The following is a 26,122-nucleotide window of genomic DNA, read 5'->3' on the forward strand; positions in this document are numbered from 1 at the left end:
TTCAGCTTTACCAAAAAAATACAAAAATTAGCCAGGCGTGGTGTGTGCGCCTGTAGTTCCACCTACTTGGAAGGCTGAGGCGGGAAGATCGCTTGAGCCTAGAAGGTTGACGCTGCAGTGAGCTATGATTGTATCACTGCATTCCAGCCTGGGCCCTTGTCTCAAAAAAACCCCCCACGAAACCCAAACCCCCACAAAAATCAAATGCAGACACACAGAGAGAGATGAGGTAGGGTTCCAGAGACAGGTAGAGAGAAGGGAAGAAAGATAAAGACACAGAGAGCAAATGGAGGCACAGATAGATGGAGACATAGAGTCCCAAATCCCAGAGGGAAGAAGAGAGACACAGAGGAGCAGAGAGAGATGCAGAGGAGGAGGGACAGTGACATCCAGCCAAAGCTAGATGCAGAGTCAGAGGACTGGAAAGGAAATTACCTCCTTTTGGGTGCCTCCTTGGTGCCTGGCTCCGATTTGGGGGTGCTGCTGTACCTTGCTTCACTTAAGCACCAACAGCCCTTGAAGGTAGCATTGAGGAAGGCAAGAGATAAGGAAGACGAGGCTCAGAGAGGGGAAGACATTTGCCTGACATTGCACAGCCTGGGAGCAGCATTTGATGCTGGTCTGTTTGATGCCAGAGCCCATGTTCTCTTCTTCAACTTATGTTGGCTCGTGAAGACCAGGAGGGACAGGGCAGATGGGGTTAGGGGGCTACTGAGTGTGGGTCACAGAAATAGAGGGAAATAATCATGTATTCATTCAACTCATGTGTCCTGAACTTCCCAGAAGCCTGGCCCTTGTGGCGTGATGCCAGAGAGCCAGAGATGAGTCAGGAAACAAATTTCTGAGCAAGACAGATGGGGCGGAGGGCAGTGTTCAGAGGTCTGGAGAAGGAGCAGATAAAAAAACAGTCGGAGGGAGGAGACAGAAAACACAACTGGTAGGAGGATGAGTCAGAGAGGGCTTCCTGGAGGAGAGGGCACTTGAGCTTCTTATTAAAAGATGAGGGCATTTGGGGACATGGGGAAAGGTTGGAAGAGCATTCCAGGCAGAAGACACAGCATATGGAAAGAGTGGAGACAGAAATAAGGTGGGATGTGTGGGAGGGATTATTTATTTATTTATTTATTTATTTATTATTTTGTTTGAGACAGAGTCTTGCTTTGTCGCCCAGGCTGGAGTGCAGTGGCGCGATCTCGGCTCACTGCAAGCTCTGCTTCCCGGGCTCACGCCATTCTCCTGCCTCAGCCTCCCAAGTAGCTGGGACTACAGGTGCCCGCCACCACACCCGGCTAATTTTTTGTATTTTCAGTAGAGACGGGGTTTCACCGTGTTAGCCAGGATGGTCTTGATCTCCTGACCTCGTGATCCGCCCGTCTCGGCCTCCCAAACTGCTGGGATTACAGGTGTGAGCCACCGCGCCTGGCTGCGGGAGGGATTATTTATATAAAATAATTAATAAAGGGTAGGTGGAGAATGTTTGGAGGGGTGAGGTTGGGAGAGGGAGGTGAGGTTAGATCATGCAGCTCTTTCAGTCCAGGTGAGGGGCTGAAAGTTTGTCTAAGGCACTGGGGAGCCCTGGGAGGGCCGTGAGCAGGGCAGGGGCAGGTCAGTTCCGGGCACAGAAAGACCACTCTGGAGCCTCACTTGTGGGGAGAGGAATGAGGGCGAGAGAATGGAGGATGGGGCGGCCAGGAGGCTGGGCCAGGTGTGGTGGCTCACACCTGTAATCCCAGCACTTTGGGAGGCTGAGGTGGGAGGATTGCTTGAGCCCCAGAGTTTGAGACCAGCTTGGGCAACACGGTGAGACTCCATCTTAAAAAAAATAAATAGCTGGGCGTAGTGGTGTGGGCCTGTGGTCCCCATTACTCGGGAGACTGAGGTGGGAGGATTGCTTGAGCCTGGGAGGTCAAGGCTGTTATACCGCTGCACTCCAGCCTGGGGGACACAGTGAGACCCTGTCTCAAAAACAAACAAACAAAAAAGGAGGCTGGGGCAAGGGTCCCAGCAGGAGAGGACGAGGTCTGAGTGGCTGCTAGAGCTATGGGAGTAGAGAGGAGAGGAAGGAGAGGCAGAAGGAATAGAACTTGGAGACAGATAGGCTGTGAGGGTCAGGTGTGCCTGTGGTCAAGGCAATCATGTCCTCCATCCCGCTGAGATAAAATTGCCAGCTGGAAATGGAAGACAGCTTGATGGGAGAGAAGCAGATGTGAAGATGCCAGGAGGGGGTCAGGGCCCCCAGAACTGAGTAAGACTATTTCAATCTGGACTGTTTTAATTGCTAATAACGGAAACGCAAATCAAATTGACCTAAGCATAAAAGGAAGTTTATTGATTGGATGAGGGCTTCAGGCATTGCTGGATCCAGGTGTTCCAATCATCTCCAGGAATCCAACTGTCTGTATCTTTGGGCTATGCTTCCCTCGTGTTGTCTTTGCTCTCAGGCAAGTTATCTCCCTGCATGGTGATGTGGTAGCACCGAGAGCTCCAACCCTGGCTCTGACCAGCCCCAAAACCACAGGGGAAAAACCCTGTTTTCTAACAGGTCCAGCAAAAGTCCAAAGGTTGACTTTGTAGCCTAGATTGATTCTTAAGCTCGCCACTGAACAAATCACTGAGGAAATCAAGGTGCCACCACCTAGAACGAATACTTAGTAAGCAGGAACAACAGACAGTCCAGAGACCATCTGGATGTGGAGAAAGAGGAAGAGAAAGAGATACAAGTAACAGAGACAAAGACTGCAAGGACAGACAAAACAAATAAGCGAAGGTCCAGCTTCCTCTCCCACAATTCCTGCAGAGAGCTCTGCAGACCCAGAGAAAGGGATGCTGAACAGGCACCTACACGGCTAGACCCCTTCTCTCTAGCACGAGAGGCCCCGTGAGACCCCAGACCCAGAAGTCCAGGCCCCCATCCTCTCCTCCCTCAGACCCAGGAGTCCAGACCCCAGGCCCTCCTCCCTCAGACCCAGGAATCCAGGCCCCCACCCCTCCCCCTCCCTCTGGAGGCACCATGGCAACCAGGCCCCCTGCCCACCATCCCCTCCCCACTAGAGAACCCACTTTCGTTGGAATCTCGCCTGTTTCTAACCAGTTCCTGGCTGGGGCAGGGATGAGCAGAGGGCAAGTGGGAACAGAAAGGGGATGACAGAGGGGAGGGGGCCTCAAGGGGGCAGTGGAGGCAGCTAGGAGAGGATAGAGATGGGGCAAGGAGACTGGTGAGAGGTGGGAAGACAGAGAGAGGGTGACGGGGTTAGGGAGAGGCAGAAAACGATGAAGACAAGGAGGGACGGGGGCCTGGGGAGATGCTGGGGAAACTGATGGAGACTGAAGAGATGGAGCCCAGGAGAGAAGGAGGGAGGAGGAGGGCAGAGAAATCAAGCAAAAGAGTGGTGGAGACGTGGGGACAGAGGGGAGGAGGCAGGGGGGCAGAGAGATGGGGAGAGAATGAGGAAGGGAGGTGGAGAGAGAGGGGTGGGGAAAGGGACTCTAGGAGACAGAGAGAGATAGGAGGAAAAACAGGGAAATGGGAAAGAAGGGATTGGGGCACACAGGGAGTCCCTGAGGTCAGGGGAACCCAGATCTCCACATGGTCTCAGCCTTCCAGTTCCTCTGTAATTCTACCCCGGGGCTTCAAAGAGGAGGTAGAGGAGGCAGCGGTGGGGAGAAGGAGCTGGGGTGGGTGGCCCAGGCAGAGCCTCTCTTGCCACCTTCCTGAGACATCCCTCACCCACCTTCCCAGGATGCAGCCAGAGGTGGAGCCCGTGTGCTTCCCTGCCATGGGCAGCCCCACCATGCACAGGAAGGCAGGTACTGAGCTGTGTCTTTGGGGGAAGGGGTGGACTTCCTCCATCCAGGCAGTGCGTAGTAGCCCGGGCTCACAGTGTGGCCTTAAGCGAGTCACTGGCACTCCAAAGTGAAAGCCATCCCTAGCATTCCTGGATTCACCAGATTCCTGGAGAGCGGCCCCCTTGGACCTCAAACTACATTTCCCATGAGCCTCTGCAGTTCCTTGGCCAATGCCCTGGACTCAGAACTACATTTCCCATGAGCCTCTGGGGCCTAAGCAACACCTCTGAGGCCATTCTTCTCCTAGGTAACCTCACTGTCTTGTCTCCCACCCTGAGCTCAGCATCTTCCCCCAAAGCTGCTCTCCTCCTTCCTGGTTTCCATTTTCAAATGGCCCCACCGCCAACCCAGTCACTGGTGCCATCCTTCCACCTCCCACAATTCCCTCCCACAGCCCATCAGGCCCTATCTTCCTGCCCTCTGACTCTCCCTTCCCCATTCCTTCCTCTCTGTCCCCGCAGCCCTGTCCCAGGTCTCATCCTCTTCCATGTGGACCCTCTCCTCACCTCCTCCCTGGTCCCCAGTTTCTCTCCTCCTACCTATCCCTCCATGGCTCCAGAGAGGTCTCTCTGACTTCCTGCAGTGATCCTGGCTGTCCCTTGCTCATAACACTTCCTAGCTTCCTGTCACCTCTAGGACAGAGACCCAAAGCTCCAGCCTGGCTTTTGAGGCCCTGTGTGGTCTGACCCCTGCTGACAACTTCAGGCTCCTAGCCCAGCACTTCCTGCTAGCACTCTGTGCTGTAGCACAGCTCATGCAGTTACACTCATTCAACATTTATGGAGTAGTATCTCAGTGAGGATGCATGTAACTGCAGGTAATAGAAAACCAAACTCAGGACTGGGTGTGGTGGCTCACGCCTATAATCCCAGCACTTTGGAGGCCGAGGTGAGTGGATCACCTGAGGTCAGGAGTTCAAGGCCAGCCAGCCTGGCCAACATGGTGAAACCCCATCTCTAAAAATACAAAAATTAGCCAGGTGTGGTGCCGGGTGCCTGTAATCCCAGTTACTAGGGAGGCTGAGGCAGGAGAATCGCTTGAACCCAGGAGGCAGAGGCTGCAGCGAGCCAAGATTGTGCCACTGCACTCCAGCCTGGGTGATGGAGGGAGACTCTGTCTCAAAAAACAAAACAAACAAACAAACAAACAAAAACACCCAAAACCAAAACTCACTGCAGCCTTGAGCTCCTGGCTCAAGTGATCCTCCCACCTCAGCCTTCGAGGCCGAACAAATGCCCTGATGGCAAAACAGGCGTTGTTTCTCTGCCTTTAGGTCTCTTTTAGTGCTTTTGAAGGCATCTTTCTTTTGGAGACCCCACAATGCACCATCTCTAGCCTAGACTGAGGCACCCACGTGACATGTAATTTATATGTAGCTCCAGAAAAGTCAAGTGGAGTTGAGTCGACCAGTTGGCTAGTTTTGTTGATCGACGTTTGTTCATTTCGATTTTGCTGTTTTCTTTGCAGCGTTGTGGAACCAATCACATTTTTTAGTTGATCAGGTTGCAAACTTCAGCATAGGCCATTAGAAAGCCCCTGGGTCCCAAGCATTTTGCCTGTAGTGCCTAATGGATGAAACGGCCTGGCTTGTTCTCATGCTGGGAGAGGAGACGTGAAACACGCCATCTCACAGATCATTCATAGCCTCCAATGGCAATAAGCGCTCTTTAGTCTTGGGGCTCAAGGGAATTCTGGGAAGTTCTTGCAGGTGACTCTCTTCTCTTTTGCTCAAAAACCTTGGCCCATGCTAGGCCCTTCATGGGAAACATCCTTCTCTCTGTCACCTCTTTATTTGGTAAATACCTTCTTATTCTTTAGGTCTCACTGTGGACACCTCCTCTAGAGAGCCTTCCCTGATTGCCCCTAGACCGGGAGACTGGGCTTTCCCTCCACCTTGTAACACTTTCATTGAAACACACATTGCCCTTTATCTGAGAGTTCTGAAAGGGCAGAGGTGTGTCTCATTCATCTCTTGGTCCCCAGCATCCTCCAAGGCACACAGGGGCCCTCTGAGATGCCTGTTAAAAAAATTTAACCAGCTACTTGGGAGGCTGAGACAGGAAGATCCCTTAAGCCCAGGAGTTCCTGGCTGCAGTGAGCTATGACTGCACCATGACCCTCCAACCTGGGCAACACAGTGAGACTCTGTCACCAAAGGAAAAAAAAAAAAGCTTGAAATGGTTGCATTTCCTCAATTTTTCAATAAGTACTTATTTTTAAGTTTATGCTTATGTTAATTTAATTACACATATACATTTAAATGTATTAAATACATTTACATATATTAAAATCACTGTTGTAACTAGAAATAGTTCTTATTTCTAATGTCATATTTCATGAGAAACTATTGTATTCACATTTTTTCACATGCATCTTTGATGCTGCTAGAGTTACTTTTTGATTCATTTAACGCTTGTACAAGGCTATTTTTTAAAATTAATTTATTGTGTTGAGACAGGGACTCACTTTGTAACCTAGGCTGGCATGAATTGACACCATTGTAGCTCACTGCAGCCTCAAAATCCTGGGCTCAAGCGATCCTCCTGCCTCAGCCTCCCAAAGTGCCGGGATGATAGGTGTGAACCACCATGCCCGGCCTATAATTATTTTTGAATATCATCTCATACCTAGTACATATTTAAATTTCCCTAATTATCTCAAAATTGTATTTTTTTATAGTTGGCTTGTTTAAATTAGGGCCCAAACAAAGTGCACACATTTCAGGCTTTATTCAATAAATACTAAGGACAACTATAAGCCTGGCACTTTGCTAGATGCTGGGGACGAAAACACAAGTCCCTGCCCTTACGTTGCTCAGAAGACGTAGGGAAGACAGAGTGTAATTAGGGAATCATAGAAATAAAGGTAAAATTGCAATACTATGAGTACAAACATACTGTGCTATGAGGAATGGCATCAGTGGACCCTCAGGGAGACTTGATTAGCCAAATGAGGGGGAAGAGAGATCCACGCAGAGTTACAGCATTGGCCAAGATCCTGCAGCAGGAGGGGTCAGAGAGTCCAAGTCGCAGAAAAACAGCGTTTTTGGACTGCAGCAGGTGAAAAGGACGATTGTGCTTGATCAGGTTTAAGACACTAGCACGGTCTGATCACGTGTGGTCTTATGGTCACTGGAAGGACTTTGGACTTTATTCATCCCACAGACAATGAAAAGTCCTGGGAGGGTTTTGAGGAAGGGGCCATAGGGTCAGGTCTACATGTCAAAATCCTGCCTTGCTGGGGTAACTGGAGAGCGAGAGGAGTTAGGAGACCAGGTGAGAGTGAGGTGAGAGGAAGGCACCTGGGGAGATTGAGAACACGCACACTGGATCCAGATGCTTACATTTTTATCCTTATTCTATCATTTTGTGCTGTGTGACTTTGGGCAAGTCACTTAACCTCTCTGTGCTTCTGTTTCATCATGTGTTAAACAACACTACCTCGGAAGGTTGTTGTGAGGATGCAATGGAAAGTATTTTATTCTATTCTATTTTATTTTATTTTGGCACTAGAGTCTTGCTTTGTCGCCCAGGATGCAGTGCAGTGGCACGATCCCGGCTCACTGCAATCTCTGCCTCCAGGGTTCAAGCAATTCTCCTGCCTCAGCCTCCGGAGTACCTAAGACTACAGGTGCGCGCTACCATGCCCGCCTAATTTTTTGTATTTTTAGTAGAGATGGGATCTCACCATGTTGGCCAGGCTGGTCTCGAACTCCTGAGCTCAGTCAATCTGCCCACTTTGGCATCCCAAAGTGCTGGGATTACAGGCGTGAGCTACTGTGCCCGGCCACAGTGGAAAGTATTTTTTAAAGTGTTTGGCATATAAAAGGGACAGTAAGCACATAGTTATATTGTTAAGTGGACAGACTTGAGGAGGGGATGGCTGTGTTTGAGGGATGGAGGGAGGCCGGTATGACTGGAAGAAAATAATGAGGGTAGGTATTTCTGGAAGGGGATCCCGTGAAAATGTAGATTTGAATCCAGTAGGTCTGGGGGTGGGCCCTGGAGTAAGTGTCTACCGCACGTGTGTGTGTGAGAGTGTGCAGGAGAGCCCGTTGTGAAACATATACCAGCACACCACTGACTATAGTTAAACCAAGTTGAATGTGTTGACTTATTGTAATGAGAGACAGCACACACACACACACACACACACACACACACACACACACACACACACACACACACACACGTTGTCTCAGTAGAAGGGTGTTAGCAAGGACTTATTGTTAGAGCCGGGCTGTGTCAGGTGACTTTGGGGAGGGTTCACGGGGGTGGGGCTTTGCTCTGGATGGGAGACTGATGGAAAGCACAGGCAAGCCCATGACTGGGAATCTTCATCTCATTGGGAACCAGGAGGGGTAGATGGAGCTAATGCTGGGGTTAATGAAAAAGCAGCCGTCGGCTCTGAGCTGGGAGGGGGGGATTTTGGTCATTTTTGTGGTTTGGACAATGTTCATGTTTGTTGTGTTGAGACATGATTCAGGGGTGGTCTTGTTTTTGTCTCAGTCCATCACGGTCACAGAGTGGCCTTGCTTGATGTTGGTGTTACGGGAAATGTTTTATGTTCGGCAGGAGAGCACCAGGGCCGGGCTGTCAGTGTCTGCTTCCCTCCCTTTCAGCAGCTATAACAAAGACACCCCAAAACACAACATCATAAAGAAGACAGAAGTGTATTTCTTTTCTTTTCTCCCTTGCTCCTTTCCTCTCTTTCTCCTTCTTCCCTCCCTCCATCTCTCTCTTTTCTTTCTCTCCCTCTCTTTTTGTTTTTGAGATGGAGTCTCACTCTGTCGCCCAGGCTGGAGTGCAGTGGCGCAATCTTGGCTCACTGCAACCTCTGCCTCCTGGGTTCAAGTGATTCTTCTGCCTCAGCCTCCCGAGTAGCTGGGACTACAGGCACACACCAACACACCCGGCTTTTTTGTATTTTTAGTAGATGGGGTTTCACCATATTGGCCAGGATGGTCTCGAACTCCTGACCTCGTGATCTGCCCGCTTCAGCCTCCCAAAGTGCTGGGATTACAGGAGTGAGCCACTGCACCAGGCTCCGTCCCTCCCTCCCTCCCTTCCTTCCTTCCTTCCTTCTCTCTTTCTGTCTCTCTTTCTCCCTTTCTCTGTCACCCAGGCTGAAGTGCATTGGTACAATCATGGCTCACTGCAACCTCTAACTCCTGGCCTCAAGCAATCCTCCCACCCTAGCCTCCTCAGTAGCTGGGACTACAGGCACACAACATCATGCCCAGATAATTAAAAATTTTTTTTTGTAGAGATAGGGTGTTGCTATGTTACCTGCCTCAGCTGGTCAAGAACCAGAATTGTATTTCTCTCTTGTGTAATGAAAGGCAGGGTTGTGGGACATCTTGGCTTGGTGAGAAGATTTAGAGATAAGAGTTCCTCCCATACTGTTGCTTGCCATATCTGAACATGGTGGAGGCTGGGTTATTGCTAATCCACATTCCAGTCCAAGAGAAAGGGCAGAGTCCAAGAAAAGCAGTAATCTTTTAAGCAAATGACTCCAAAGTTACACCTCTCACTCCAGCTAACACTTCATTGGTGAGAGCATGGTCACATGGCCACACTTACCTGCAAGGGAGTCTGGGAACTGTTGTCTCTAGCTGGGAAGCCATGTGCTGGGTAAAACTCTAGGATTGTAGGGGAAGGGGAAAATGGAGTGCATGGAACAACTAGCACTTGGCCATAAGAGAGAGACCAGTTAGCTGATGGTGGGGTGGTCAAAAAGGGTCCATATTTGAGAACTGTTATCTGTGAAGTTCCAATCAGGAGACTGATTCTGAGAGTGTTGGAAAAACTGAAAACTGGGCTGGGCATAGTGGCTTATGCCTGTAATCCCAGCATTTTGGGAGGACGAGGCAGGAGGATCACAAGGTCATGAGATTGAGATCATCCTGGCTAACACAGTGAAACCCCGTCTCTACTAAAAATACAAAAATTAGCTGGGCGTGGTAGCGGGTGCCTGTAGTCTCAGCTACTCGGGAGGCTGAGGCAGGAGAATGGCGTGAACCCGGGAGGCAGAGCTTGCAGTGAGCCGAGATTGCGCCACTGCACTCCAGCCTGGGCGACAGAACAAGACTCTGTCTCAAAAAAAAAAAACAAAAAACCTGAAAACTGGATTCAAGTGTTGTTACTGAAGTGATGCTGCCACAGTGAAGAAGTAAGCCTGGGGTGACTAGAAGAGGAAGCAAAAAGGAGCAAGTTCCTCCTGCTTCCTCCTGCCTTGCAGGCTCCCACTGGCGCCCCTGTTAGGCAGAGCCTAATAGGAACCCAGCTGTTGAAGGAGAAATGTGGTTAGTAGAGTCTCAACCCAGGCATCACAGAGCCGGTGTCATGGGGTGGAGTTTGGAGCTAAGAGACAGTAACTCAACATCTGGCATACAAGCTATTCTGGGTGTGGCATGGGCAAGCAATTGGTGATGGCCATTTAAGCAGAATCATGGCTGAGGAGGGCTCAGGGCAGCTGACACTGGGTTCTCTGTCCTCAGGAGCCCTCCTTATGGACCTGGAGACCCCAGAGGAGATGCAGGCTCGGAGCCTGGGCAGGCCCATCAAATCCTCGTGAGTTGTCCCTGGCCCCCATGACCTCTATCTTCCGCCTCCCCAAATGTGATGGCAGTGAACCCTGACCTCAGAGGTCCCTGCCTGTTCGCTCTCTCCCTAGAAAGCAGTACCTGCGGCAGGTCATTGCAGAGTACGAGGCACTGGACCGAGAACTCCCGTGCATCCGGAAGTTCCCCACACCACCAGCTTCCCAGCCCCTCTGCCTCTGCATGGAGACCTTGGTGAGTGGACCTGTGCCCTTATTTTCTGCACAGTTTTGGTGGGGTGATGGGAAGGGCACAGGCTGAGAAGCAGTGTGGCCAGAGTTTAAATTCAGGCTTTTGGCTTATAAGCTGTGGGCTTGCCACCAGGACAGTTTGCTGAAAACTGATTGTGAATTTGTCAAAGGGTCAGTCATGAAATCTACTGCTCATGTCAGAGGGGAGACCAACGGGCAAAGAAAGGGGAGGCTGAGGGGGGCAGGGAGGGAGGACAAAAGGAGTCCTACTAATCCACTTCTGTAAAGTTTACAAATATAACAAAAACTCAAGAAAAAGCCCATGTGTGTCGGGTGCGGTGGCTCACGCCTGTAATCCCAGCACTTTGGGAGGCTGAGGTGGGTGGATCACTAGAGGTCAGGAGTTTGAGACTAGCCTGGCTAACATGGTGAAACCCCGTCTCTATTAAAAATACAAACATTAGGCAGGCGTGGTGGCAGGTGGCTGGAATCCCAGCTACTGGGGAGGCTGAGGCAGGAGAATCGCTTGAACCTGGGAGGTGGAGGTTGCAGTGAGCCGAGATCGTGCCACTGCACTCCAGCCTGGGTGACAAAGTGAGACTCTGTCAAAAAAAAAAGGAAGGAAGAAAGAAAGAAAGAAGGAAGGAAGGAAGGGAGGGAGGGAAAGGAAAGGAAAGGAAGGAAGGGAGGGAGGGAAAGAAAGAGGTCATGTTTTTGACAGATTCAGTAAACTGGTCCTCCCTGCCTTCAATCAGAAGAGGTATATATGAGAGTCCCAGGCACTCAACAATTGACTGAGAAGAGCTGATGTCAATAGGTGCTTACTGTGTGCCAGGCACAGGCCTCCAAGGTACCCTCTCAGCTAATCCGTGTAACTCTCCACCCTGCATACAGGGATTGCTGTCCTCGTTTTAGGGATCAGTCTCCACCCCATCACTCCACTTCTTTGTGGCTTTGAGCAAGGGACTCTCCAGCCTCCCCTCTCACCCCAGTCAAGGAATGACTTTCTGGAAGTGACATCATTTTTCAGTGAAATCGTGAAAATTTTCATTTCATTTTAGTTCCTCAGCAATTTTATGTGCTATGACAACTGTTATCACCCTTGACATGCTAATCACGTGATGCAACTGTGTTTAGTGATCAGTCCACGTTTCTGAATGTTAAATAGATTGACAAGACATCAAAACCCCTATGACCCTTATCTTTTGACTACTGAACATTCTTAAAATGCTAATACGAATATAAAAGGAAAGGTGTGTAACTTAAATCCTGGCAGAAATTTTCAAGAACTTTCAGGCGCATCCATTGCAAATTGCTGGGAAAGTTTTTGGTAGATTCGTAAAGTTGGCTAAGTTGGTGAATCATTCAGCCAACTGTTCATTGACTTTGGGGCAAATTGGCTTGGTGAGAATTGATTTTTTTGGAGAATGACCTAGAGTGATAGTAGATGCTTTCCCATCTGAGAGATAATCTGTCGTCTCCTTTGACCATAGCGACAGTACCCTGGGATTAAGAGCGATCCTTGCCCCTCAAATGCCACCTGGAACTCTGTGGCAGGTTCTGCAGGTGGGGTCTAGGGTGGTGACTTCTGAACCCAAAATGAACCAGGAGGCCACGGGCTGAGGTTCTCTCTCCGACACCCGCAGCCCGAGGAGGATTTTACCCACCTGGAGGTGCTGCAAGCCCTGGAGGCCCAGTTACCAGGGGCCATGGAGAGCGGGCGCGTGAGCAGCATCCGCTTTGAGAACATGAACGTCATCTGTGGGACTGCTGGGCGCCGGAACCGGTGAGTAAGCGGCGGGGGCGGGGCCTGGAGCGAGCGGGAGGGGCGGGGCCCGGGGCGACCGGGTAAGAGCGTGGTTGGTTTTAGAGCGCTGAGGGACGTGGCCAAGAGTGAAAGCATGAATGGGCGGGGCCCGGGGCGACTAGATAAGAGCGTGGTTGGTGTAAGGGTGCTGAGGGGCGGGCCCCGGAGCCACTAGATAAGAGCGTGGTTGGTGTAAGGGTGTTGTGAGGCGGGGCGACAGTGGAGTGACAGCTTGGGGGGGCGGGGCCAGGAGGGACTAGATAAGAGCGAGATTGGTGCAGAGCCACTGAGGGGCGGGGCCAAGAGTGAGCGCGGTTGGAGGTAAGGTCCGGTGAGATCAGAGAGAAGGAGGGATCTCGAGTGAGTAGGGGCCCGAGTTTGAGTGACCCAGTAGTGACCGGGATAGAGGTCTGAGCCTGGAAAGGCAGCTGTGAGGGGGTGGAAGAGACTGAGCACATAGTAGGTGTGGGGCCAGGGGTGATAGGGTGGGGACAGGCCTGGAGTGCCTAGGGTAGAGCGCAGCCTGCAGTCGCCAGTGGAGGGTCGGGCCTTTGGGCGGTTTGAGATGGAGCCTCGACAGACAGTGATTAGGACGCAGAACCAGGCTAAGAGAGCGTAAGGAGCCTAGAGCGACCCAGGCGAGAGGGCAGGGCTGGAGGGGAGTTTAGGGACGGAGCGATGGTCCGCTGGACCAGGGCCTGTAAACGACTCCAGGGACCAGGCAGGGACTCTTCGACGATCAAAGCCAGGGCTGAAACGACCTGCGAGTTCCTTTTCCGTCCCCACCCCCCTTACAGGTGGCTCATCGCGGTCACGGACTTCCAGACGCGCTCGCGCTTGCTGCGCTCCGGGCTCAGTCCCCGCGGGCTTGCGCACCAGATCGTGCGCCACGACGACCTCCTGCTGGGCGACTACCGCCTGCACCTGCGCCGCTCCCTGGTCCGGCGGCGCATGCTCGAGGCCCTGGGGGCGGAGCCGAACGAGGAGGCCTGACGCCCGGGCGGGCCCCGGCAGCGCTTGCGCACCGCCCCGCGGGCTGGGGCCACCCACCCGGAGCCCCGGAGGACAGGGGGCGTTGCCTTCCCAGGAAGGAGGCGGGGCCGGCTCGAGGGGGTGGATACTGTGAGTTTAATTATAAAGAATGACCTGGTACAAAAGCCATTTCTCTCTGCAAAATCTTGGTGGGGAGTCAGGGGAAGGGAGGTGATGGGGGGTAGGAATGAACCCCCATGTTATAATCCCGCGTCCCTAATCTTCCTCCAGTCCCTGTACGTGGACGCCTGGGTCCCAATCCCTTGAGGGATGAACTGAAGCCCGCGAAAGGGAAGACCTGGGCACCGGGGCTTTCAGCGCGTGCCGAGCCCTGTCTCAGCGAGAATCAGACGTCCTCATCCGCCCCCCTCCTCTTCCCCTCCCACCCCCCCTTGGAAGACAATTCTCGGGCTTTTATTTCAGGTTTTTTTTCTGGATTTTTTTGTGTGTTCTAGGGGTTTTGTGTTTTTTTTTTCTGTTTTTTATATTTTCTTCTTTTGTTATTGTTCCTCTTTTTGCTTTTTCTCTCCTCTCCACCCCGCGCTGTCCCCGCATTCGGTCCCTCCCCACTCCCCACCCCGACCTCTCCTCCCCCCCCCACCCCCTACACCCTCCCCAACCCCGCGGCACCCATCCAGAATGAACGAGCCCTTGATAGACGGGCGCCGCGCAGGCCCCCTGCGGACTGGGGGCATCCGACAAGGGGGAGGGGGCGGGTAGGGGTCCAGCGCGGCCTCTGCCCCTCTCTCACCACCCCTCCCCCCTCCCACGACCCTCCCACGAGGTTCCCCGCAGATCCCTGACATGGTGAGGGGAGGGGGCTTGCAGCCCCCTCCCCTCATGGACGGAGCGCCCCCCCCTCTCGGGGGTAGGGGGCAGCAGAGGGGGAATGGGCTTGGGGAAGGAGGGGGAGCTCCCTTCTTTGGCAGCTGAACATGGGGGGGGGACCTGAGGGCAACGCCCTCCCCCCTTTACCCACAGCAGGGGAGGGGGCTTTTCAGGGGGAGGGGTGGCTTAACATTCCCAAGCCCCGGGAATAAGCGGAGAGAGGAAGCGTGCGGGAAGGAACAGCCATGCTGGAGGGAGAGGGAGCTTCTTGGAGTGGACAGGTTAGGAGAGGGCAATCTTCGTGCAAAAGGGATGGACAGATGGCCCAGGAAAGACAGAAGAGGGAGGATGTGAGGAAGGGTGAGGGCTGGAGGCAGGGAGAGGCTCGAGTGTGGAAGCATGGTGAGCAGGAAGCCAGTGTGCATAGGGTCTTCTCTCACCAGGAAGAGAAAGAGCTTAAGGAGGTAAGAGAATCCGAATGAGAATGGCCGCAAGAGCTGCTTGTCAACAGGAATAAAAAATAAGCGTGTCAGGAAAAGAAATGACAGTTACAGCCCAAGAGTGCATGGAATGAGATGAGTGTGCAAAAGGAAAGAAGTGGTAGAGCTCTCATCCAGGTAGAAAAGACAAGATGCGGTGTGCAGCCATGTCATGGTGCGCAAGAACATTATTAAAGGGGAGAAACAAGGCTTCCGGAGAGCACTGAAAATGCTGGGGGGGGGGGCGCGTGTGCAAAAGCAAGTGTGCAAGAGGGTTCACAAAAGAATCAAAAATGCAGAAGGGCAAAGATTTCAAACAGAAAGGGGCAAGGGAGTGGGAGCCTGGCAAAGAAGAAGAGAATGAGCATGTGTGAGAGAAACAGTTTCTGGGAGGCAAGTGTGCAAAAGGCGTGACCAAAAGTGACGGTGCAAAAGGGGCAAGAGGGAAGGCGGGGGGTGGGGGGCTAGGAGTGTCATGGTGAGAGGGGAGAGTTGGGGAGTGGAAGAATCTGGGGTTTTTAAGAATAAGAAGGGAAAGTGCTTCAACGTAAGAAAATGGAGGTAAGAGTGTGTCAGGAGGGGTGCATAAGATAGCAAGTGTGCAAGGGCTGAGCAAAGAGCAGGGCACTCCAGAGAATGAATGATGTGCATGGAGTCTGTGAGGGGGAGGGAAAATGTGTCCCAAGTGTGTCTGCAACAAGGGTCCAGAGCGAGCGGGGAGGAGGAGATGTGAAATGGAGTGTGTAAAGGAGGGCCCTGGTAGGGGAAAAGTGTGTAAGCAGCAAGAAGCAGAGAAGGAGGCATGGAGCGTGAGAAAGGAAATGCAGCGTGTGCGAGGAGAGCAGAGTGTATTTGAGCGGGCCTCGCCAGCCAGAAGCAAAGGCAGAATGTGCAAGACAGCGAGAGGGCAAATTTGTGCAAAATTGCAGCCCGGGGACGGGAGGGGAGAGAGGTGAGCAGGCGTGCAACGGAGCGTGCAAGAGGCTGAGGGGGGCAGCTGTGTGTGCTGGGGAGAGGGGAAGGGGGGAGAGCTGAGGGGCCTGGAGAGAGTGGGAAGGGTTGTTAGAGGGGTGGCAGGTGGTGGAATCCGAGGGCACCCCCTTCCCCTGCGGCCTGGGGGACAGTCCCCATCCAATCGGGCTCAGGGCTGACCCTCTATGGCTCTGTCTATCCCCTCCCCCCAGAATAGGCCCTTCCCTCCTTCTCAATTCCCCTCTGTAATTTCTCCTATCCCCCCTCCGCTCCCCGCTTCACACACACACACACACTCTTGTGTCAGCTGCCCCCCTTCAGTGAGGTGCAAATGTCCGGCCTGGATTGGGCCACCTGGTGACCTCTGGCCTTGGGAGATGAGGGCAGGGCGCAGTTTGAACAGAGTCCCTGGCCCGGGGAGAGAATGACAGTCAGGGGTCAGAGGTCAAGAGGCCAGCAGGCTCAAGAGTTCTGTGGACGGGGCTGGTCCGTCCAGGCCAGCCATCACCTCTCCAGGAAGAATTTGAGAGCCCGGTCGATGTTCATGCGGTGGCCCACCCTGGTCACACCTAGATCGACGTAGTCCTCCTTGGTCAAGGCGGGCAGGTGGGAGCCATCGATCTCGTGGTCCAGGAACTGGGCTCGGTGCTCCGCCAAACCCAGCCACTCCAGCCAATCAGCCACGTCGAACTTGGTCCAGAACCCCAGAGGTTTAGCGCCAAACGGCTTGTCCGGGGGCAGCGAGAGCAGGCGGGTCGGTGAGAGGGAGCGCGAGGCCCCTGACAAGGCTCCCCCGAGCCCCCCGGATATCCCCGGGTGTGGCGGCACAAAGACTGGGGCGAAGGGGTCAGCCGAGCCTCCTGCCCCTCCAGTTGGGGAGCCACGGATGTCAAAGAGGCCTGGGTAGAGGGGTCCGGAAGGCAGGATGGGCAGGGACGAGGGCCTGGGCGCAGGGCTGACCTTGTGCTCCGAGGCGGGCAGCAGCGAGGGGCTGGGGGCCCGGCGGAGCAGAGGGGGCCGCATCTCGAACTCCACGCCCTGGAGGTGGCGGGTGGACGTGGAGGAGGAGGAGGCTGAGGGTGAGGTGGCCCCTGGGGCCGCAGCGGCTGTAGGGGAGACCCCTGTTCCGGTGGGGAGTGGCGGCAGAGGTGGTTTGGGCCAGTTCTGAAACAGGCTGCTGACAGGCTTGGAGAGGAGTGAGGACTGGGAGTCGTCGGAGAGTCTGGAATGTGACAAGGGGGCAGTGGGGGAGGACAGGGATTTAGGGGGCAAGGGCAGGGGTGAGAAAGAGGCAGAGGTCAAGATATAGGGAGAGAGGAGGAGAGACATAAGGGTAGGGGGAGAGACGGAGGAGAGACGGGAAGAAATGGAGGGAGCAAGGGGTAAGACGGCCGGCCGTCGAGGAAAGAAATGAAGGGAGAGAAAGATGAGAGGACAGGGAGAGGGCGACAGTTAAGAGAGATGAAAGAAAAAGAGACATTAAGTGATAATAATAATAATCGTCACCGCTTACTGATGCTCACGTGTGCCAGGCATTGTTCTAAGTGCTTTACATGATTGCATCTCAGTTTAATCCCCACGACAGCCCTGATGCAGGTTACTATTATTATCAGCACAGAGAGGTTAAATAACTTGCCTAAGGACACACAGGAAGTGGCAGAGCCCGGTTATATGGCACCAAAGTCTGAGCTCTTCACCACTATTCTATACTGCCTTTCAGGTTATGGCCAGTCGTAGCAGAGTGAAAGATGGGGAGACAGTGAGAGAGAGACAAAAAGAGGGTGAGCATCCAGGGGAGAGAGATGGAAGGGACAGGGGACACAGAGAGAGAGAGATGAAGAGAGGGAGATGAAAGAGAGAAGAAACAAGGGGAGAAAAAGGTTCCCCTCATCCCTTTCGTTCCCTCCCCTCCAGCACTGTCCCACCTCAGGGCCTTTGAACTGGCTGCTCCCCCTGCCTGGCTCACTCTTGCCCTGGGCAGCTGCTCCCTCTCCACTTTCATTACTCTGCCCACCTTGCCTGTTACATGAGAGACCTTCTCCACCCATCCCATTGTGGTAGCTTTTTTTGTAGGATGGTTGCAATTATTTTGTTTACTGCCCCGCCCCCACTCCTATGTCCCTAGACTATGAGCCCTGTGGAGTTGCACAGTCTTTGCCTGTCCTGTCCAGCAGGGGATCCCATCACCCAGAAGGGCACTCTGCACACATAGGTCATGAGTCAATAATTAATGCAATTGTTGACTGAATTAAGCATCCTTCCTGTTGCTGCTACAAGCAGTGGAAAAAAAAAAAAAGAAAAGAAAAAAAAAATCCTCTTCTCTAACCAGAATACTTAAGAATAGTCAAGGAATTGCATTCAGTTCTTAAAGGCCTAATAAACCCACATTTGTTTGTTTATTTTTACAGCGTAGGAGCATTGATTCAAGTTGCTCTAATAATATACACTTCCTTTTTCTTTTCTTTCTCTCTCTCTCTCTCTTTTTTTTTTTTTTTTTAAGACAGGGTCTCACTTTGTTCCCCAGGCTGCAGTGCCTTGGTGTCATATCAGCTCACTGCAGCCTCAACCTTCCAGGCTCAAGTGATCCACCCACCTCAGCCTCCTGAGTAGCTGGGACTACAGAGGCAGGCCACTGTGCCCAGCCTCCTTTTTCTTTTCTTTCTTTTTTTTTTTTTTTCAACCTGGGAGCATAGATTTAAGTTGCCCCAAATATACACTCCCTGAACCCACATTTGAAGGTCAGACACATTTGGATAGCAGACCTTCAAACAGAATTCAAGTGAACTCTGTAGATGGACAAGGATATTTAAAACCTGCTCCCAACCCTCTGTGTATCTGAAGCAGAAATGTAACTCTACTTTCTCTAGGACTAGAAGGTCTTGAATGGGCTCGAATTCTGCGACGATGCAGCTGACTGGCTGCTCTGGGAAGCATCTGCATCATCCCGTATTTCCCCACGTAGAAGTTGCTGGGCTCTTGTTCGAGGCCCCCTCTTCCCCCATCCCATGTTACAACAATGGCACACACTAAATCCTCTCAAAAACTCTTTGGGCTGGCACTAGGCCATTCCACTTCTACAGAGAGGTGGATTCATTTGCCTAAGATCACCCAGGTAGAAAGTGCAGGGTTGGGACTGGAAGCTGAGAAGGTGGGCTCTAGAACCACACCTATAACTGCATCCTGTCTTGAACCACACTGGCTTCAAGGGACTCACAGATTTCAGGGACTGTCAGAAAGAAGTGGCAGCTCACCAAGGAAACAAACATAAGCAGGTCTCACTCCAGTCTCCTTTGTTAATAACTTTTTTTTTTTGAGACGGAGTCTCACTCTGTCACCCAGGCTGGAGCACAGTGGTGCAATCTTGGCTCACTGCAACCTCGGCCTCCCGGGTTCAAGTTATTCTCCTGCCTCAGCCTACTGAGGAGCTAGGACTACAGGTGCCCACCACCATGACCGGCTAATTTTTTGTATTTTTTTTAGTAGAGATGGGGTTTCACCGTGTTAGCCAGGATGGTCTCGATCTTCTGACCTCATGATCCACCCGCCTCAGCCTCCCAAAGTGCTGGGATTACAGGCGTGAACCACCACGCCCAGCCTGTTAATAACTTTTTGTTCATCATGGGATGTAGGTTGTGATGGTGATGGGCAGAGACAACAGAAGCTACTGAAATAAATGGAAATTTAAAGGCTGGACCCAGTGGCTTACACCTGTAATCACACTTTGGGAGGTCAAGGCAGGAGGATCACTTAAGCCCAGGAGTTTGAAACTAGCCTGGTCAACGTAGCTTGTCTCTACAAAAAGTTAAAGAAAAAATGGCCAGGGCCAGGCATGCTGGCTCATGTGTGGAATCTCAGCACTTTGGGAGACCGAGGTGGGATGAATCACCTTAGGTCAGGAGTTCAAGACCAGCCTGGCCCACGTGGCAAAACCCCTCATCTCTACTAAAAATACAAAAATTTGCCGGGCATGGTGGCGGGCACCTGTAATCGCAGCTACTCAGGAGGCTGAGGCTGGAGAATCGTTTGAACCTGGGAGGCAGAAGTTGCAGTGAGCTGAGATTGTACCACTGCACTCCAGCCTGGGCAATAGAGTGAGACTCTGTCTCAAAAAAAAAAAAAAAAAAAAAAAAAAGAAGAAGAAAAGAAAAATTGGCCAGGCATAGTGGCGTGCACCTATAGTCCCAGAGGATTGCTTGAGCCCAGGAGTTTGAGGCTGCAAGTGAGCTATGATTACACCACTGCACTCCAGCCGGGTGACAGAGTGAGACCCTGTTTCTAAAAAAAAAAAAAAAGCCAGGCATGTTGGCTCATGCCTGTAATCCCAGCACTTTGGGAGGCCAAGGCGGATGGATCACCTGAGGTTGGGAGTTCGAGACCAGCCTGACCAACATGGAGAAACCCCATCTCTACTAAAAATACAAAATTAGCTGGGTGTGGTGGCATGGGAGGCTGAGGCAGGAGAATCGCTTGAACCCGGGAGGCAGAGGTTGTGGTGAGCCGAGATCACGCCATTGCACTCCAGCCTGGGCAACAAGAGTGAAACTCCCTCTCAAGAAAAGAAAAGAAAAAAAAAAAAAGAAAAAGAAAATATTTGTGAAAGCATGCTTCTGTGACAGCAAACTCCTGCCAACCTGGTTTCTGTTTCCTTTCTGCCACCCTGAGACCCTAAAGGGACACAGCCATGCCATCAACACCTCTGGCCTCCCTTGTTGGCCACCAGCCCCCGCTTACCTCTGCCGCTGCAGGGAGGAGGTCCTCTCGGGGACATAGCTGGCTCCCCCGTGGTGGCTGTCTCCGCCTCCCCCACTGCCTCCTCGGGCCCAGGGCAGAGCGCCGCCAGCTGCCGAGGAGCCCCCAAACTGCTGAAGCTTGGAGCTGAGTTCACTGATGATGCTGGCTTTTACTGTGGCCAAGGCTGAGGCCTGAGGCTGGGCCAAGGGCCCGGGCAGAGGTGGTGGCGGTGGGCCCGGGCCCTCCTCCCAGGGCAGCAGCTTCCGGGGCAGAGAGGAGGCCGTCGGCAAGGGCACCGGTGGGACTTCTGGCTCTACAGCCACCGGACCCCCCGCCACGCCTGCCGTGGGGGGTCCTGAACAAGCACGCAGGGCCAGCAGCCCATCGGTTCCAGCCCCTGTCACCGAGACGGTGGGGCTGGTGGGGGTAACAGGGTCTCGGAGTCCCCCGCTGGGGCCAGGCCGCAGGCCTCCGCTGGCTCCTAGCGCCCGGCCCCGGAGCTTAGAGGGAGTCATGAGCTGAGGAGGGTATGGCGGGCCGGGAGTACTGCTGCCCCCAAAGGCCTGGCCGTCCAGGTAGGCCACATAGGTGTCCAGAAGCTCCGGCCCACTGGCCACACCGGCCCCAGCCCCGCCCCCACCCCCTGCGCTGCCACCACCTTCGGCAGATAGGCTGCTCAGCGTGGAGGCGCTGCTGATGGTCTCCAGTGGGTGGTCACTGCTGCTCCGACTGTCCACCTCCTCGATGCCAGAATCCGTGCCAGGCGGAGGGTCCGGGCCAGGCTGTGGGGCAGCGGGAGCCGGTGCTGCTGGGGCAGGCGGGCCTGGTGGATGGGGGTCCCCAGGAGCGGCGGAGGCCCCCTGGGTCAGGGTGGCCACCTCGCTGTCATAGGATGTCAGGCTGGATGCGGTGGAGTCCAGGGTGGGAGGGGCTGCGGCCACAGCCGGGGGTGGCACAGGGGGTAACGGGGTGGCAGGGGCAGGTGTGTCGGGCAGCGGGTGGGGAGGCCCAGGCGTGAGGGGCGACTCTGGCTTTTCGAAGCTGTTGGAGAATTCCAGAGGCGGAGGCAGCGGTTCCACGAAAAGGAATTCGCCATCTTCCACATCCACCGAGGGGGCGGGAGGCGGCAGGACCAGCAGGGGCAGCCCGTTCTCTTCGCTGGCCCTCGGGGAGGTCGGGGAGGGGGGCACGGACCGGCGTGGGCTGGGCGGCGGGACCCCCGGCCCGTCCTCCGAGGGGGGACCCCTTCCGCTCGTCACAGGGGCCCGGGGCTGGCAGTTTTCAAGGAACCGCACGTGCAGCGGCAGCCGCTCGGGTTCTTCGGGGGCTGCGGACCTCCAGGGCTTGCTTACTCCGGGGTGCGGGGCCGGGGGCTCCGTCCCCAGCTGCAGCAGGAGGGGCCCCACCCCGGGAGCGGTGGGCGGCAGGCGGTGTAGCAGGGAACGCCGGGCGGCGGGCGGGCTGGCGGGAAGGGACTTCTCCTGGCTGCCCAGCCCGGCCCTGTACCCCAGCTCCCGGCGCGCAGGGTCCGGCGGGGAGGCCCCCCAGAGACGCAGCACTGGCTCGTGGTGGGCGTGGGGCGAGTGGTGGTGCGGGGTGGGCGGCGGGGCCTCGTAGCGGGGCGATGGGGGCCTGGGAGGCGGCTGGGGGGCCCCGCCGCCCTCCGAGGACTCCTTCAGCGCTCGCTCGCGGGCGGCCAGGGCCAGCCCCAGCGGGGAGGCGGGATCCAGGGCCTTGCCGGTCAGCGGGTGCACCAGGGGTCGCGGGGGCAGGAAGCTGGTGAAGGCGCTGCTGCCCCCGCCACCCCCGTAGGCTCGGCTACCGGCCCCGTAGCCGCCGTAGCCCGCGCCGCTGCCCGCAGACTCCAGTCGGAGGTAGGGCTCGGCGGAGAACATGCCCTCGTCGATGGATTTGGAGTGGCGCAGCCGCGGGCCCGGGGCCGCCCCTGTGCCCAGCCCGCCGTCCCCGCCGTCCTCGTCCCCCGCGTCGGTGGACAGGAACAGCGTGGAGCGCCGGCGCGCCTCATTCTGCCAGCCCCCCTCCCTCCGGGCCGCCCCCACCAGGGCGGCCCCGAACTGGCTCGTGAAGTCCAGCGTGGCCGGGCCGCTGGGCGAGGCGGGGGTGGGCACGGGCGAGGGGGACGGGGGCACGGGTGACATGGCCGGGGCGGGGCTGGGCGAGGAGCCGCCGCCGCCGCCGCCTCCCGTGGGCTCCGGCTGGGTGGGGGGCTCCGCCTCGGTGCTGCTGCCCTGGCTGCTGCGGCCGCTGCTACTGGTGGACGGGGCCTTGATGATGATGGTGGGGATGGGGATGGAGTTCTTCTCCGAGGGCGCGGCCACGGCGGGCGGCGGCTGCGGGGAGGCCGGGGACGTGGGCGACGGCGCGGGCGGGAGGCCGCCGCCCTTCTGGGGCTCGCCTTCCACCTTGGTCTGCTTGACCAGCGGGCCCTTGCGGCCGCGGCCCGAGCGGGCGGGCACGTACATGGCTGCGCTGGCCGCCCGCGGGGGCAGCTGGAAATAGCGTAGAGCCGGGCCCTGGGAGGAGCCGCCGCCCCCGCCCGCGCTGCCGTGGTGCGATGGGGACGGGGCCCCCGGGGTCGGGCTGGGCCCGCCGCCCCTCCAGCCTCGCAGGCTGGGCTGGGGCCCCAGAGCCAGGCGGGGTGGAGGGTCGTCGGGAGAGCCGCCTGTCTCCATCTCGGGAGGATGAGGGGGGTGGGCGTGGTGGTGGTGGGGCTGAGGGGGCGGGGCGTGGTGGTGGTGGTGGTGGGGCGGGTGGTGGTGGGCCGGGGGCAGGGGCCCACTGTGGTACAGGCTCTTCTCGCGGCTCCCCACGCGAGTGTCGGGAGGGGAGGGCCCGTCAAAGGATGCAGGGGAGGAGGCGGGGAGGGGGCCACCAGAGCCAGGGTTGAAGGGCCCTCCCCGAGGGGAGGGGGTGAGGCGCCCTGAGGAGGAGGGGACTGGAGGTGTGCTGTAGGGAGGCTCCGGTGGGGACGTGGTGGGTGGCGGGGGAATGTCCTCCGAACCAGGCACAGACAGGCTGCGGCTGAATTTCATGGCTGGGGGTGCTAGGTAAGGTCTGTCATCTTCTGCCGCACCTGGGGAGATACAGAGGCTCAAGGAGGGGGACCCTGGCGGGGAGGGTCTCCCTGCTCCACTATCCCATAGAACCGCAACAATACTAATGACAAGAATGGCACCCCGTATATGCCAGGAACTTCACGTGGACTCGCCCAGCTCTTCCCTATTTGAGGTAAACCCAAATCTGCTTCATACAGAGGTACAGGTTGTGCACTGCACAACTGCAAACCGCAAGGAAGGTGAGGAAACTGAAATTCAGCAGAACTTCCTCCCCACGCCAGGAGGGGGCGCCATTTTCTAATTCCGTTCAAAGGCTCAGTGAACGGTTTGGGGCCAGCAAAAGTGGCTGGAGCTGGGAAGGGATAGTCCCCTCGTGTTTATGCATAGATGCGTGTTTCTTTTCACGTATATGCGGGAAAGAAATGCAACCAGCACATCAAAGCTGTGATTCTACAGAGAGAACCACTTATGATGAGGCTAAAGTTTAAAAGGGATTGGATCTATAAAAAAAAAAATCAGGTAAACGATGCGAGCCAGGTGGACCCCACACTCAGTGGGAGTGTAAGACTCACACTGGTGGACTTTGAACGCCAGGAGTTGGGGAAAGCTGAATCCAATCAGGGAAAAACAACTCCAGGAGGCGTGCAGGAGTTAAGTCTTTGCTTACTTCACTGCCAAGGCTCGGTCTTTGAACCTCTTCTCACCTCTGACTACTCCCTCTCAACTAGTGACCAGCTTCATTCACTGCCTTTCTGCTGTCGACGCCCACGTTTATGCCTGGGGCCCCATCCTCCGCCCTGAGCTCTGGGCCCCTATATTCAAATACCCACACCCAGCTGGCTGTCTCACGGGCATCTCAGACTCCAAACGCTCCAACCCAAGCTCCTGATCTCCTCACCAACAGACTCCTCCCAGCCCACGGTCCCTCCCCACCACCGCAGCAAACAGCAGCTCTGTCCTTTCAGGTGCTAAGACTGAAAACCTTGCAGCCACTCTTAGCTTTCTTCCTCAAGTCACCCACATCCAATCCACCAGCAAATCCTGTTGTTTCAAAACATATCCGGAATCCAATCCCTTCTCACCCCTCCAGAGTCAACACCCTGGGCCAGCCACTATCATTTCCTATCTGGATAGCAATAGCTGTCACCTCCTCTTTGGTCCCCCGGCTTCCCAGCTCATCCCCTTCAATCTAGTCCCTTCACAGCAGCCAGAGGGTTTCTGTTAAAACCGAAGTCAGCTCATGTCCCTCCTCTGCTTAGAGCCCTGCCATTCACTCACCTCACTCAGGGCAAAGGTTCAAGTCCTCACCATGACTCCCCAGACCCTGCAGGATCGGGACCCTGTCCCCCCACTGCCCTCATGTCCAGTGCTCACTTGGCCCCTGCTACACAGGCCTCCTCCCTGTTCTGTAAACGCACCAGACTCAGCCCGACCTCAGGACCTTTGCAGAGGTAGTTCGCTCTGCCTGGAATGCCTCAACCCCAGGGAGCCTCACGATTCCCCACTTCATCTCTAGGTGTTTTTTTTTCTTTTCTTTTTTTTTGAGACAGAGTCTCGCTCTGTCGCCCAGGCTGGAGTGCAATGGTGCGATCTTTGCTCACTGCAACCTCTGCCTCTCGGGTTCAAGCTATTCTCCTGCCTCAGCCTCCTGAGTAGCTGGGATTACAGGCACATGCCACCACGCTTGGCTAATTTTTGTATTTTTAGTAGAAATGGGGTTTCATCATGTTGGTCAGGCTGGTCTTGAACTCCTGACCTTGTGATCCGCCTGCCTCGGCCTCCCAAAGTGCTGGGATTACACGTGTGAGCCACTGTGCCTGGCCCATCTATAGGTTTTAGCTCAAACCTGCACCCTGCCCCCTACCCAGCACTCCCTATCTCTCTTACCTTACTCCATTATTTTTTTTCACTCTTTTTTTTTTTTTTTTTTTTTGAGACAGAGGGTTGCTCTGTCGCCCAGGCTGGAGTGCAGTGGCACGTTCTCGGCTCACTGCAAGCTCTGCCTTCCGGGTTCACGCCATTCTCCTGCCTCAGCCTCCTGAGTAGCTGGGACTACAGGTGCCCGCCACCACACCCGGCTAATTTTTTGTATTTTTAGTAGAGATGGGATTTTACCATGTTAACCAGGATGGTCTCGATCTCCTGACCTTGTGATCTGCCTGCCTCGGCCTCCCAAAGTGCTGGGATTACAGGCGTGAGCCGCTGCGCCCGGCCCACTCTTTTTTTTGTTTTCCATAGCACGTACAACTGCTAACATACTAGATAATTTTCTTGCTTATTTTCCTTATAATCCATTATCTGTCTTCCCCTGCTATAAGGCAAGCCCATGAGGGCAGGAACCTTTAGTCTGTTTTATTCGCTGACGTATCCCCATTCTAGAACAATTCCTGGCATGTGGGGAGCGCTTGGTAAACACTTGTAAAATGAATGAATGGATGGAATCGGGTATAAGAGAAACAACCAGAAAGCTGTAGCGGGGGCTTTAGCTCACTGCATCCCCATTCTCCAGATGTAGAGCCAGAGGCCCAGAGAAGTCAAGCCACCTGCCCCAGTTCACA

General features: G+C 54.8%; 3 protein-coding genes across 7 annotated transcripts in view, besides 6 other annotated features; 1 reads left to right on the forward strand and 2 right to left on the reverse strand.

Annotated features, from left to right (window-relative positions):
• The window catches only part of SYT3 (synaptotagmin 3), a 36,129-nt gene extending 23,728 nt beyond the window's left edge, over positions 1-12,401 (reverse strand). The window contains exon 1 of the mRNA NM_001424346.1: positions 12,306-12,401. The gene's annotated coding sequence lies outside the window, so the exon portion shown is untranslated. The remainder of the gene's footprint in view (positions 1-12,305) is intronic.
• Positions 708-1,002: an enhancer, noted in NCBI's record as "tiled region #12891; K562 Activating DNase matched - State 8:EnhW". NCBI's record gives its function as "activates a minimal TATA promoter and a strong SV40 promoter by Sharpr-MPRA in K562 cells {active_cell/tissue: K562}" and the evidence as "EXISTENCE:reporter gene assay evidence [ECO:0000049][PMID:27701403]".
• Positions 2,625-2,674: an enhancer, noted in NCBI's record as "active region_14994". NCBI's record gives its function as "activates an Ori minimal core promoter by ATAC-STARR-seq in GM12878 lymphoblastoid cells {active_cell/tissue: GM12878}" and the evidence as "EXISTENCE:reporter gene assay evidence [ECO:0000049][PMID:35858748]".
• On the forward strand, positions 3,741-13,602 carry C19orf81 (chromosome 19 open reading frame 81). 2 transcript variants are annotated; one of them, NM_001195076.2, is made up of 5 exons: positions 3,741-3,807; positions 10,346-10,418; positions 10,522-10,642; positions 12,285-12,424; positions 13,243-13,602. In NM_001195076.2, the coding sequence occupies exons 1-5, from the start codon at positions 3,741-3,743 to the stop codon at positions 13,436-13,438; spliced, it is 597 nt and encodes a 198-aa protein (NP_001182005.1). In that variant the 3' UTR covers positions 13,439-13,602. The 2 variants fall into 2 exon arrangements, with proteins under 2 accessions (NP_001182005.1, XP_047294715.1); XM_047438759.1 differs by lacking the exon at positions 3,741-3,807 and adding an exon at positions 3,837-4,093.
• Positions 12,167-12,236: an enhancer, noted in NCBI's record as "active region_14995". NCBI's record gives its function as "activates an Ori minimal core promoter by ATAC-STARR-seq in GM12878 lymphoblastoid cells {active_cell/tissue: GM12878}" and the evidence as "EXISTENCE:reporter gene assay evidence [ECO:0000049][PMID:35858748]".
• Positions 12,457-12,546: a silencer, noted in NCBI's record as "silent region_10974". NCBI's record gives its function as "represses an Ori minimal core promoter by ATAC-STARR-seq in GM12878 lymphoblastoid cells {active_cell/tissue: GM12878}" and the evidence as "EXISTENCE:reporter gene assay evidence [ECO:0000049][PMID:35858748]".
• SHANK1 (SH3 and multiple ankyrin repeat domains 1) overlaps positions 13,551-26,122 on the reverse strand; it is a 60,548-nt gene continuing 47,976 nt past the window's right edge. For all 4 annotated transcript variants that reach the window (XM_011527014.3, NM_016148.5, XM_011527013.3 and 1 more), the window contains 2 exons: positions 20,488-23,581; positions 13,551-16,978 (listed from right to left, as the gene is read on the reverse strand). In XM_011527014.3, the coding sequence (XP_011525316.1) occupies positions 16,261-16,978; positions 20,488-23,581 (3,812 nt within the window). In that variant the 3' untranslated portion in view covers positions 13,551-16,260. The remainder of the gene's footprint in view (positions 16,979-20,487; positions 23,582-26,122) is intronic.
• Positions 16,062-16,720: an enhancer, noted in NCBI's record as "H3K4me1 hESC enhancer chr19:51165023-51165681 (GRCh37/hg19 assembly coordinates)". NCBI's record gives its function as "activates a minimal SCP1, AML or CMV promoter by ChIP-STARR-seq in naive H9 embryonic stem cells {active_cell/tissue: H9 hESC(naive)}" and the evidence as "EXISTENCE:reporter gene assay evidence [ECO:0000049][PMID:30033119]".
• Positions 16,721-17,378: an enhancer, noted in NCBI's record as "H3K4me1 hESC enhancer chr19:51165682-51166339 (GRCh37/hg19 assembly coordinates)". NCBI's record gives its function as "activates a minimal SCP1, AML or CMV promoter by ChIP-STARR-seq in naive H9 embryonic stem cells {active_cell/tissue: H9 hESC(naive)}" and the evidence as "EXISTENCE:reporter gene assay evidence [ECO:0000049][PMID:30033119]".

The sequence above is a fragment of the Homo sapiens genome, chromosome 19 (assembly GCF_000001405.40).
Source record: "Homo sapiens chromosome 19, GRCh38.p14 Primary Assembly".
In the NCBI taxonomy this organism is placed as follows: Eukaryota; Metazoa; Chordata; class Mammalia; order Primates; family Hominidae; genus Homo; species Homo sapiens.

Coding starts and splice junctions, on each gene's coding strand:
- C19orf81 (NM_001195076.2), top strand. CDS start 3,741: ATGCAGCCAGAGGTGGAGCCCGTGTGCTTCCCTGCCATGGGCAGCCCC. Junction 3,808..10,345: donor CACCATGCACAGGAAGGCAG/GTACTGAGCTGT, acceptor CTCTGTCCTCAG/GAGCCCTCCTTATGGACCTG. Junction 10,419..10,521: donor GGCAGGCCCATCAAATCCTC/GTGAGTTGTCCC, acceptor CTCTCTCCCTAG/AAAGCAGTACCTGCGGCAGG.